The 14,200-nt window shown below is 40.3% G+C and overlaps 1 protein-coding gene across 4 annotated transcripts in view; it reads right to left on the reverse strand.

Moving 5' to 3' along the window:
* Positions 1 to 14,200, reverse strand: part of GPM6B (glycoprotein M6B) — a 167,700-nt gene that overhangs the window by 135,689 nt on the left and 17,811 nt on the right. The gene's annotated exons all lie outside the window — the stretch shown is intronic.

A 14,200-nucleotide genomic window follows, 5' to 3' on the forward strand; every position in this document is an offset into this window, starting at 1 on the left:
CTAGACCTTACCTTTCTAGACATAGAGCAAATATAGGATTTTTATGGGTTTTAAAAGAAATGTCTAGCCTATATGATCTTCATATTTTAGGCTCAAATTCATTAGAAATATCTAGTACTTCAAAGAATTATTGGGAAGGAAAAATCACCCAAGTTCATAAACTCTTTTTAATGATCAGATATTCCCAAACTTGACTCCAAAGGACAATTTTCATAAGCTAATCTCAACAGATCCCTCTTTTACTAGTAAATTATGTGGTAGTTATGGGGCAAAATGCTCTTGTGTTCTCCGGTCATCTCCAGATTGATTCAGGAATGATGGTCATAAAAGCAAGACCACTAACTTTAGAATGATCTCAACTACACATAAATATGATGGAATAAATATACAAAATAGTCTCTATGCTTTTTCTGTTTCTGTGTCTCCTGGTAGTCCTACAGCACAATTACAGATTAATTAGGGTGTAAAGCTAATTATTTATCCTTTTGTGCTCTGTCAACTCTTAAGCGACCACAAAAGCCCTATGGGGGATAATATCAAAGACAGCAACTGACATTGATTGGGTACTTCCCATGTACTGACACAGTGCCTAGCACATTCCCTACATCTTTTCATTTACTCTTTATGACAACCCAAGAGATGGTTTTTTGGTTGTAGAGACTGTGGCTTGGAAAAGCTAAATAATTTGCTAGTGAGGGGTAATACCAGGATTTAAACCCAGGTTCGTCTGACTTTACAAATTACTCTTAACCATTTAAAGTTATAGTTAAATTCGGCTGGGCACAGTGGCTCACGCCTGTAATCCCAGCACTTTGGGAGGCCGAGGTGGGTGGATCACTTGAGGTCAGGAGTTCGAGACCAGCCTGACCAACATGGTGAAACCCCGTCTCTACTAAAAATACAAAATTAGCCAAGTGTAGTGGTGCATGCCTGTAATCCCAGTGAGGCAGGAGAATCACTTGAACCCGGGAGGCGGAGGTTGCAGTGAGCCGAGATCACACCATTGTACTCCAGCCTGGGCAACAAGAGCGAAACTCTGTCTCTAAAAAAACAAAAACAAACTTATAGATTCAAATCCAGGTTTGTTTAATGTTAAAATGGACTATTGAAGATTGCACTTCGTTCTTAAAATTGGCAGAAAAAAATGCTTCAAATAACACCTATTAATGTATTTTATTTCCAGAGGACTCTCTCAAGTCTTGATTTATAGCCTATTCACTTTTACTTTACACACAATTATAACAGCTTCTCCGCTTTATCAATTGCTACTGGTGGCACAACTCTGAAAATAGGGAGAAGTCATTACTGAGAGCACAAATGAGATTAAAGAGAGAAAATTATGGAAATTACATGTAAAAAGTCAAAAGCACAGCTATTTGAAACCACTTAATGTGTTGGCATAATTCCTCCCATCTCACTCTTATATTGTGATATGGCACATGAGTGGTATCTATTATCAAAGATACTTATAAAAAATACATTAAAACTTGGGGGAGGCAATGCATGTGTGAGGGCAGTGAGTATATAGGAAATCTCTGTACCTTGCTTTTAATTTTGCTGTGAACCTGAAACTATTCTGAAAACATTGTCTTAAAAAAAATTGATCAAAACCTGCAGATGCCCCCCTTAACCAAATGATCAGGATTAATATCACCAGCAGTGAGATATATTGGCATCATGTGCCCCCTTATATGACACACTGCAAAGGGTACAACATCCCATCTGTGGCATTTTTGCCTCAAATGTACAACCTTAATGTACTCATGAGAAAATGTCAGACAAATCCAAATTGAGGGACATGCTACAAAATACCTGACTCGTACTCTTCAAGAGTCAAAGTCGAAAGACAAGGAAAAACTTAGGAACTATCACAAGTTGGAGGAAACTAAGGAGATGGGACAACTCAATGCCATGTGAGATCCTGAATTGGATCCTGCCACAGCAAAGAGAAAAACTGGGGAAATCCAAGTAAATGCTATAGTTACTGGCATTTTATCAGTGTCAATTTCCCAGTTTTGACAGTTGTACTAAGATTATGTAAGTTGTTAAGGTTAGGGGAAGCTTGGTGAACGGTTTAACAGAAACTTTGTACTATTTTTATAACTTTTCTGTATCCAAAATTATTTCAAAATAAAGAAATTTTAAATGGATCAAATTTGGTTCAGCATGCATATGGAGATACATATCTTAGAAACGTCTGCCTCAGAAATACTTAACACAAAAACATTTTCGTTCTTCATGTGAGGGCTAAACTTCAGATTTACTGAACACAAAGCTAGCACACAAATATTTGTTGGAAAATGAACAAAAAAATATTATATTCCCACTTAAGCCAAGTACTACATTGGCAATAACATTTTTAACCTTTAAAGCATTTTTAGATTTACAGAATTATTGCAAAGATGGTACAGAGGGTTCCCACATACCTCACACCCAGTCTGCCCTATTGTTCATAACATACCTCACATCTAATCTGCCCTATTGTTCATATCCTTTTTTTTTTTTTTTTTTTTTTGGAGACAGTCTCACTCTGTTGCCCAGGCTGGAGTGCAGTGGCATGATCTTAACTCACTACAACCTCCATCTCCCAGGTTCAAGTGATTCTTGTGCCTCTGCCTCCTGAGTAGCTGGGATTACAGGTGTGCACCACCATACCCAGCTAATTTTTGTATTTTTAGTAGAGAGAGGGCTTCACCATGTTGGCAAGGCTGGTCTCAAACTCCTGTCCTCAAGTAATCCGCCTGCCCACCTAGGCCTCCCAAAGTGCTGGGATTACAGGTGTGAGCCACCGTGCTCAGCCATATTGTTAATATCTTACATTAGTATGGTATATTTGAACAATGAAGATGCTCCATGCCAGATATTTCAATTTATGTCGTTGCTGATGCCACAGGCTCTTCAGACAGGCTTATTACAAGGATGATGACGAAGATCAACATGATGCTAATCATGCCCTTATTATTTATAATCATGGTACTGACTATGGGCCAGGTATTATAGTCACAGTTTTCATAAATCATCTCATTTAATTATCATAATAATGAAATTAAGTGGGTGCCTTTTCTTATTCCCACTAAATAGAAGAGGAGGCCGAAGCTCAGAAAGGTTAAGGAACATGCTCCAGATCCCCCAGGAGGAAACAGTAAAGCCAGATTCAAACACAGGACTGGTTTCTAAGTATACACTCTTAACTACTGCAGCTGTCAGTCAACCAAAACTTCCATGCAGCTGTTGAGCTAAGCTTTCTGTATCCTATACCTGCTCAGTTGGTTTTATTTAAAGTAACTAAAAGGTTTGCCTTCCCCTTAGATTCACTCATCTTTCCCTCCTACCCGTCAATAAGGCCTTTGGCACCTGTAACCTAACAGCTAGTCTCCCCTTTCAGGTGAACCGCGTTATCCATGGGTCTGATCAGTATACTTTGCACTGATTCCTATTACTGATAAAACTGTGGAACTGGACAAGACCCGGAGAAAAGCCACCAGCTACCTCCACCCTGGAGGGTGGTGTGGCTCCCCCTTAACCGGCAATGTTTGGGCCATATTTCAAAAAGTATCCTTTCCATATCACTCAGTGCAGGCCATCCTAGCACTTCTCAACCCTGGCTGCACATCAGAATCATTTGGGAAGCTTTTAAAAATCCCCAAGCCCAGTCAGCACCCTGCACAATTACATCAGAACCTCTGTGAGTGGGGCCAGGCATCGGCATTTTTAAAGCTCTCTAGGTGACTCCACTGTACAGTCAGGGTGAGAGCCACTGGGCGAATGCACATTTCCCCTCATCCAAAAAGAAGTCCAAAAGGAAGACCGTTGATGACTATGTCAAACACGGTGGACTCTGAGTACTGTATCTTGGCATTAGCCTCATCAAGTTAAACCACCCCACTGAAAACGGATGCAGGCCGCCTGTGCGGTATGACAAAACCTTTCTAAACAAGACACTGGCCCTTGTGATTTACTTCGTCCTACAATCTAAGGAATTGGAGAGAGAGGAACACAAATAACAGTGAAGGGAGAGTCTGCTCTTCTGCTCTAGAATTTCTCAGCATCGACGTCAAGCTTGTTAATATCTTTGGAGAAGAACCAATTATACAGGTGGATTAAAGAACAGACCATGAGTATGCCATTCTAAATTGTAAGTAATTTACTTTCTAAAGGGGATTAATTTATGCAGGACAACTAAGCATTAAGAAGCTACCATGTGGCACATTTACATTCCTATATAACATGTTACAAGGAGGTTCAAAGACCCAGAAAGTAACGGCAAACTGAAAACAGCATTTGTAACAAAAGCTTTTGATAGCACCTTATACTCTTCAATGGATGATATACATAATAGTTAAAACACTATTTTCCATGGGCCAGGAATTGTTCTATGCACTTCACATGTATGAAACTATTTAACACTCAATCATGCAAAGGAGGTATTTTATTGCTCCAGTTTTTCAGATCAGAAAATCAAGGCCCAGACATTAATTTAGAAGTAACTGGTATTTTAAATCTGGCAGTCTGACTCCAAAGTCCACTCTCTAAACCATAAAATGATACTAGTATATCCGATCTTCATGTTAGCATTGCAATATAAATATACAAAAGTATACAGAAGTCACTGCAGTACTGATGTGTGCACTGAGGCCTAGAGTGGTTCAGATATATGGTCACAGAACTTTTAAGGGCCCAAATTAGAATAGAGTCATCTCTTAACTTCCATCTCAAACCTCCTCCTTGCTATACCATAATTCTTTCTTAGGTGGCTACAGACAAATGCTGTCCAGCAAGGAAATTTTGGTGATGATGGAAATATACTGTATTTTGTCGTCCAACATAGTAGTCTCAAGCCACATGCCACCACTGAAGATTTTAAATGTAGTTACTGCGGTTAAAGAACTGAGTTTAACTTAATTGTAACTAATTTCAATTTAAACAGCTAGTGACCATCATATTGGAAAGGCAGCTACACAGACCATGAAAGGTCTATCAATTTTGGCCTTTACAATTACTTTTCAAACTAAATTTACTTCTAAAACTAGGCTCTGTTTCCACGATCATGTAACAGCTCATCAGTCTGTCTCAAGCCCTCCTGAAATAAAATAACACACCAAGAGGTTTACATAATACAAGCTTGAGCTCTGTGATCTTATTGGGTATTTGCCTGGCAAACTAACTGCAGCAGGCTCTGCTATAAGCTGGAATATGTGACTCACAAAATGGAGCTAAGTCAATAAAAATATTTCCCAAAGAAAAACTGTTACACATTTCCCTTCACACTGAGGATGTAGTTTGCTACCAAAGTGTTGGAAAACATTTCAAGGTAAGGCAAATGTGAACTCCACTCACCAATAACCAATCTCCTGGCTGACCTGAAATACTGTCACAAATTTGTGACATTTAAGACATTATTACCACCAGACGCCCTTCCCCAGGCTCCAACCACATAGGGCGTTATTTCCTTTGTCCTACCACTATTTTCTTTTCATAGAACAGAAAACTGAGGCCAAGACAAAGGTGAACAAACTTACCAAATCTATAGTGAATAGGCTTAATCTATAGTGAATCCAAGAATAAAATCCAAAATATTAACTTCTATTTCTAAAATTCAATTCCAAAAACACTGCTAAAGAAAGTACAATTTTTGTGTAGTTTCTCTACGGATGTATATTCCACTGCTGCAAAATCTCTATAGTTCAGACAGCCAAGAGATGCTGAACCAATAAAAGATGAAATTGTTGTTACTGTTTAAAGCACTTCATACACAGAATGCTTTAATAGCATCTAAAACCCAACTGCAGAAACTTGCTTTAACACCCCAAATCATCTGACCTCCTCCATTACTTTTGTTCTTTATGATTTTGATGTTAATATGAGGTTTGTGCCTAGAATAATTTGGTAAAAGACTAGGGAACAAGATGCTTTTGAAGCAATCCTTTTGATAGATACAACTGGAAAAAGGTCAGTATTTTTTCAAATTTGAAAAAAAAAATTAAAATGTTAATCTAAATAGAGAGCCAATAATGTGAAGGCAAAAGAGAGAACTGCTCAGGCAATGAAAGAAATAGTTGGGGCACTTAGCTTAGGGAGGGCAGGAATTCCTACTTTTCCTCAGTGGAAGGTTGGAACATTGTAAGAAACTGTCACTTCATTTTACAAGTGCCACTAGGATAATCATCGCCTTCTGCACTTGATACAATCTTGGCTATTTAAAAATGACTCCCCATATGGTTACTATAGGAAGAAAATTACAAATTTCCAGTTTGTTTATTTTGTTTCCGTATCTTGGCCTGAAGAAAACTCCACTTGACATCTGCAAAATCACTGAATCCATCTTATGTCAGTGTGAGGAAAATACAGCATATACTTTAGTTACCTTTTATTTAGATGAAAAGTATTAAATATTTGTAATCAAAAGTTTGTGTAGCTGAGAGCCATATGCTTATAATTAGAACATAGGAAGATATTAGATATTACCTTGAATAAACAGTTCAAGACAATTATAGCACGTCCCAGTCTTCCCTGTCTGTCTGTCTGTCTATCTATCTATCTGAGACAGGATCTCACTTTGTTGCCCAGGCTGCAGTGCAGTGTCACAACCTTGGTTCACTGCAGCCTCGACCTCCTGGGCTCAAGTGATCCTCCCACTTTAGCCTCCTGAGCAGCTGGGACCACAGGCATGCACCACCATGCCTGGCTAATTTTCGTATTTTTTTTTTTGTAGAGGCAGGATGTCACCATCTTGCCCAGGCTGGTCGAACTCCTGGGCTCAAGCAATCTGCCCACCTCAGCCTCCCAAAGTGCTGGGACTGCAGGCGTAAGCCACCATGCCCAGCCTCCATTCTTTTTAGATCACTACACTGCACCTGACCTTGAGGTAGGGTTAGGCCTCAGTGTTCAATGTAACTTCAAACTAGCATAATCTCATATTATGAAATATATCCTTTCTCAATTTACACTGGTCAAAACATGAATCAAAAGCAGAGGGTGAACCAACTTCAAATGCTAACCATAAACAGTTGGGTATCTTCTTGTTCTGTCTTGTTCGGTCTTAATTTTGGAGCATTTCACAAAATAACAAAATTTATACTCAACATGCTTTCATACTCTCAACTATGTGAAAAACTCTCCCTTTTCTCCATCATGAATTTTTCGAGACAGGGTCTCATTCTGTTGCCCAGGTTGGAGTGCAGTGGCATGAACACGGCTCTCCACAGCCTCAACCTCCCAGGCTCAAGCAATCCTCCCATCTCAGCCTCCCGAGTAGCTGGGACCACAGGCATGTGCCAACATGCCTGGCTAATTTTTTTATTTTTTATAGAGATGGGGTTTCGCCATGTTGCCCAGGCTGGTCCCGAACTCCTGGGCTCAAGAGATCTGCCCACTTCGGCCTCCCAAAGTGCTGAAATCACAGATGTGAGCCACTGTACCCTGCCTCATCATGGATTTCTTAATAGTTATACCATAAGCTACATGGGTCTTTCAAAGTTTTACATTTGCAATGTTAATGTGGAACATTAATTGCCAGTGTATCATTATTCTGAAAGAAAAATCAAATTATTCTAACATCTGAGATTTTTAAAAAATCTGAAGGTTCATGTGATATGTTTTTACTAGTTTTACTTTTTTTATACATAAGTATGGCAGATGCTCTTCACTGTTTTCCAATATCTACTCCCCCATCTTCTATGGTAATAATATTTTTAGCTGGCTGCCCAGCTAAAGATTACATTTTCCAGAGTCTTTTGAAGCTAGGTGTGATTCTATGACCAAGTTCCGGCTACTGGGATGTGAAAAGTGACAGATGCAACGTCCACAGAATGGCCTTTAAAGAGAAGGGCCTGAACTCCCTTTTCTTCTTCCTATGAGCAGGGATGTGAAGGTGATTGCAGGAACTGCAGCAGCTGTCTTAGATCATGAAATGGAAGCCACGTGTTGAGTATGATAGAATAAGACAGAGCCTAGGTCTCTGACCCCTTTGGGGAGGAGTGTCCCTGTGCCAGCTTGGACTTCCACATCAGAGGTATGGAAACTTCTGGCATGCTGAATAACATTTTGGGGGGTTCTATTAGAGCAAACAAATCTATATTGTAGCTAACAGAGTATAATGAAGTAATGAAATTAGGTGTGTTTTATTAATAATTACAAAAGCATCCATACAGCAAACTGTTCTTTCAAGCCACCTGGCAGCCAAAGATGCTCCCACTCTTCCTTTGGAAGTGCCTCCAGAGAGGATCAACAATTTACATTATTTTTACTGAATCCTAAAATGACAGACCTCTGGGGTGTCATCCACCTTACTCATCAGATCTGGCCCAATTGATTGTGACTACTTTCCCCAGATCTAACCCACCAACAAAAGTGTGCCACAGCTGGGCACGGTGGCTCATTCCGGTAATCCCAGCACTTTGGGAGGCCAAGACAGGAGGATCAGTTAAGCCCAGGAGTTCAAGACCAGCCTGGGCAACATAGTGGGACCCCATCTCTACCAGAAATACAAAAATTAGCTGGGCGTGGTGGTGTGCCCCTGTAGTTCCAGCTACTTGGGAGGCTGAAGTGGCAGGATCACTTGAGCTCAGGATCTGAGGCTGCAGAGAGCTGTGACTGTACCACTGTACTCCAGCCTGGCCAACAGAGCCATACCCCGTCTCTAAAAAATGTGTAAAAAAAAAAAAAAAAAAAAAAGGTGTGCCTGTGCCATCATTGGTACCATTTTAAAATGAGCCACAAGTTCCCCTATTCTCTCTCCTGTACTGGCTGATGAAAACAGGTAGGAAAAATGGCATTCTCCATTCTCTCTCTCTCTCAGCAGGTCCCTTTGTGGTTATGAACACCAACACCCAACAAACCAAATCAATCATGCCTTTAAATGACACTGACTGCACCCCCTCCATCAGGAGGAGGTGAGAAACACAGCTGGAGCCAGAATTCTTGGGCTTAAATACTGGCCTTGCCACTCCCTAGCCATGTGACCTCGGTTGTCACATCTGTGATACAATGAGGATTACATTAGTTGATTCAGGTGAAACAGGACTTACACATAGTAAGGACTCAGTAAATTTTTTTGCGCGTATATATGTATCATGTATATGTGCATATAATATGTATATATGTGTACAATGGTTGTTATATACACACCACATACTTGTATATGCATGTCTGCCTGCATATCTGCCATTTTATAATAGGTATGTATGTACATGTATATATGTATTACGTATATGTGTGTGTATATATCCCTTCATTTCTTGACTGATATACACATTCTGATTTCTGTGAAAATCAAGTTGATTCATAAGAAGCATCCTTTTGTCCCAAATTCAAAACTCTCTCAAAGCTCATTCTCCTGCATTTGGAACATATCTAATAATTAAGTGCATCTGCCACTTAAATATCCCCTAAGAGGCTCTGAAAGGCTCGGCCGGATTTTCAGCTGCTCTATCCAACCTCAGGAGGTATACAGCAGGAAGGGCGCCTGAGGCAGCAGTCTCTGGGCCTGCCTCATGAGGCTAGAGCTATAATTTTATTTTCTCAGAGACCAAGGGAGGTTGTCTGAGCCATCAAAAAAAGATGCCAACACAGAAATACACACACACTCTGCCAATGAAAGAGTGCCATAAAGGCAGAGATGGATAAAAGAGAAGCTCACAGTGGAAGCAGTTCTCTTCCTACACTGTCCCCAAGTTTTTGGAATGGATATCTAAACAGAAAGAAAAAACCAACACAGAATTGTCATTGCTCACGTCTCCAAAGTAGGAGACTTTGGAGTCACCAATGGGGATACACAATGCAATTCAGGCTCAGATATATCTACATAAATTGTTATTCCCTGCTTGTCTCAAATTTGAAGTGCGTTGGAAACCCCAGTCATCTGCAAAATAGTCACGTATAAAGACTCTCAGTGGTTAAGGGCAGCCACAAAGCCCAGCACCTTCCTCCTGAGGTAGAGCTGTTCCCAGGCACCCACGCCAAGCTATTGGATGGAAACTAATGCAGCATGTCTGCACTGTTTAAGTTTGTTTGAAAAGAACATGTATTAGTTTATTAATGTGTGTGTGTGTGTGTGTGTGTGTGTGTGTGTGTGTGTGTAAGGAGGCTCCATCTTAAAAAATAAGGCAGCAGGTTGGCTAAAATGGGACTTCTGTGACAGCAGAGGAGAGATACAAATAGATCGAAACTTTCAAGTCCACTGTTATAAATTCAAGTGAAAAGCCAGTAGGCACATCTGCCTTATAACTTCTGCTAGCTTAATATGCCCCATATCACACCAAAGTACAATTCATCACTGTGCCCATGAATTATCAACAAACATGAGGCCAGGTCCAGTGGCTCATGCCTGTAATCCCAGCACTTTAGGAGGCTGAGGCAGGCAGACAGCTTGAGCTCAGGAGTTCGAGATCAGCCTGGACAACATGGCAAAACCCCATCTCTACAAAAAACACAAAAATTAGCCAGATGTGGTGGTGCACAACTGTGGTTCCAGCTACTTGGGAGGCTGAGGTGGGGGAATCGCTTGAGCCCAGGAGGCCGAGGTTGCAATGAGCCATAATCACTGCTACTGCACTCCAGCCTGGGCAACAGGGTGAGATCCTGTCTCAAAAAGAAAAGAAACATTCCACTAAGGTTGTTTCACTCTTAACTTGGCAAAAACACATGTAAACTATTTTTTAAAACTCAAAATCTTAAATGATAGAAATCTAAAATATCTTTAGTGCCCTAGAGCAATAACCTTCTGTTAGTTCTCCAAACAATTTATGTGATCAAGCCATTTGCTGAAATGCCAGTTAAATGAGGAGTGAGTCACTGGACGTGAGCAAATTATGAACACAGGTTTTTACAGCAATCAAACTGTAGATATTTTTAAATCAAGTAAGCGCAGCCTGCCATTTTAAGTACAAAGTTACCATGGGAACAATAACATATACCTTGTCTCCTTGACCCTAAAGATAATGTCTGTAGGTAATAAATTTATAGACATAATTAAATGAAGCATCGTATCTGAGACTAAAATATGTGAGACTAGAATATGTCCACATTCAAACAATGACTTAATCCATTTTCAGGCTCCTGTGATGCTGTTACCAGGCTTCTGAAGAAGGAAGTACCAAGTAATGACAGTGTCTTATTATGGCATTATAGTTACTCATATCATTTATGGTTTATTCTGTGACACAACTCATGGTTTTAATCAGTTTCGTTGCCATTCACTTCCATTTTCCTAATTGCATTAAACTATCAGTGGTAATTTGCTACATTCAGAAAATGCCCTTTCAAAAAGGCCAGATTCTTCCCAACTGAATACGTTTCAGCAGGATGTTCACTTGCAAAAGTAGCGACATTTAGATATAACTAAAATCTGAAAATTGTTAATACAGTCATTAAGATAGCCAGCTACTATGTAAAAGAAAAGAGAAATGCATGTTACATATTCATATGTGGTAGAAATGTAGACCAGTATTAGGACTATCCTGTCACCAGAAGAAAGTGCGTTTTTGAACACAATAAAAATTGCTATTGTTTTGCTTATAACCCTTATAATTTTTCCGCCCACCAGACTGTGGGCTCTTCCTCAAGGACAAGGACTGTCTTATTCATCACTGTAGCCCCTGCACTTGCAATTGCACTTGGGCAATGAACGTGCACAACGACAGTTGGGAAGCTGGCTAGGAAAGCAAGCTATGCCTCAAATAATGCCTTTGATGGTATCAACAAAAGCAGCAACATCACAGCAAATAACTACCTTGGTCATTAAGAGCTTGGGCTTCAGCTGTGGCAGTCTTATTTTTCCAGAGGCATCACTGTAGCTGACTATGACAATCACAAAAGAGTAGATCTTTTCTGTAGCATGTATAGAGACATTTCCTCATGGGAATGAAAGCACAGAAAACTCCCAATTACCTGGGAAAGATGATATATAGTTGGGCAAATTTTCCTTTCTTTCTCACTTATTGTATTAGCCCATTCTCACACTGCTGTAAAGAAAACACCCGAGATTGGGTAATTTATTTTAAAAAGTTTAACTGGCTCATGGTTCTGCAGGCTGTACAGAAAGCATGATGCTGGCATCTGCTTGGCTTCTGGGGAGGCCTCGGGAAACTTACAATCACGGCAGAAGACAAAGGGGAAGCAGGCACCTAACATGGCCAGAGCAAGACCAAGAGAGAGAGCAGGGAGGTGCCAAACACTTTTAAAAGATCAGAGCTCATGAGAACTATCAGGAGGACAGTACCAAGGCAGATGGTGCTAAACCATTCATGACAAATCCACTCCCACAATCCTTCCACCAGGCAGCATTGCCAATGCTGGGGATTACATTTCCATATGAGATTTGGGCGGGGATACACATCCAAACTGTATGACTTACCCTCTTAACTCCCTTCATTTCCTTATTTGGAGAAATCTCTTCAACTTTAGGGAAGGGTCAATTGCGGCCAAAGTTTTCATCAGAGAGTTCAAATATCGTTATACCAGCACAACAGACATCACAAAGCGGGATTAGGCAAACAGTCTGGAGGTGGGATGGAAGGTAAGAAGAAGAGAGTTTCCTGACTGGCCAATATGTAGCTCTATGACTTCTGTTTAATATTTTCAAGAACACACACCTGCTTTCAAATACAAAGATAATACTATAATAAACAGGGTTCTGATTTCTTGCTGTTTCATATTAGGATGAACTCAATTCTGGGAAACCAAGGTATGCATTTCTACATTCTTAATTTCATCCTCAAAGACCAACATCTTTATTTTAAATAATGTTCATGAATGTTTAACAGTTTTACATAAACAATGAAAAAATAAGACTTTCAAACAACCTGTAGTATGTGAGATTATATTGAATTTTTCTCACAAAGATGTTAAAGATGCACCAACTGAAAATTTATAGTAAGATAGAGATCCAAATATATTTAGGAATAAGTAAACTGTATAAACATAAGCACCTGACATTGAATAATTATCTGAAAATGACATTTTTACTGACTTCAACTAAATATATGGGTGAAAACTTTCCTGCAAATATCTATTACAATCAATTTTATACACCTATATTTAGTTACTGAGAAGCATTTATGAAATATAAATTAAATGACAGACTGAACATAACCGAGAATTTCTCCCATGTCATCCTTAACAATTACCCAAACAGGAATACCATACGCCTGCAGAAAAGAGAACACACAGAAATCAATACTTACAGAGGAGAGAAACTGGGGGATGAGTCTTTGCTTCTCCAAAGGAGCTGTTGAAGGACAGCATCCTCTGGCTCTTAAGTATTTTGGAGAGAAACCCCAGGTCTAAAGCCAGAGTCCTTTGAAGACTGGTCAGAATGAGACTATAGCTACATCTGCAAAGTTTCAGAAGAAAAAGAGGCCAGGCGCAGGTGCTCAAGCCTGTAATCCCAGCACTTTGGGAGGCCTAGGCAGGTGGACCACTTGAGTTCAGGAGTTCGAGACCAGCCCGGCCAACATGGTGAAACCCCATCTCTACTAAAAATACAAAACTAGCCAGGCGTGGTGGCACGCACCTATAATCCCAGCTAGCTACTCGGGAGGCTGAGGCAGGAGAATCACTTGAACTCAGGAGGCGGAGGTTGCAGTGAGCCAAGACTGGGCCACTGCACTCCAGCCTAGGCAACAGAGTAAGACTCTGTCTCAAAAAAAAAAAAAAAAAAAAAAGAAAGAAAGAAAGAAAAAAAAAGAAAGAAAAATAGGCAATTTATTTGTCCTACTTCAGTATCAGGCTGGAAACGGCCCTGGTAGGGGTGGTGGGGTTGTATTTAGATCACTACCTTCTTCTATTAGAACCACAGGAAAATGCTATATTTGTATACCACAAAGGGTCAAATATTGTCTATTTCATAATCTGAACCTAACATCTTCACCAAGGATTGGGAAAGCCAGGGAAACACGATACGTAAACCAGCCATTGTACTATTCATTAGCAGCTCTTAGAAGAAAATAAAAAGATTAAACCTATTGCTTGAAATTAATGGGTAAGGCCGGGTGCAGTGGCTCACGCCTGTAATCCCAGCACTTTGGGAGGCTGAGGAGGGCAGATCACAAGGTCAGGAGATAGAGACCATCCTGGCTAACACGGTGAAACTCCGTCTCTACTAAAAATACAAAAAATTAGCCGGGTGTGGTGGCGGGCGCCTGCAGTCCCAGCTACTCGGGAGGCTGAGGCAGGAGAATGGTGTGAACCCCGGAGGCAGAGC

The sequence above is a fragment of the Homo sapiens genome, chromosome X, assembly GCF_000001405.40.
Source record: "Homo sapiens chromosome X, GRCh38.p14 Primary Assembly".
Lineage (NCBI taxonomy): Eukaryota > Metazoa > Chordata > Mammalia > Primates > Hominidae > Homo > Homo sapiens.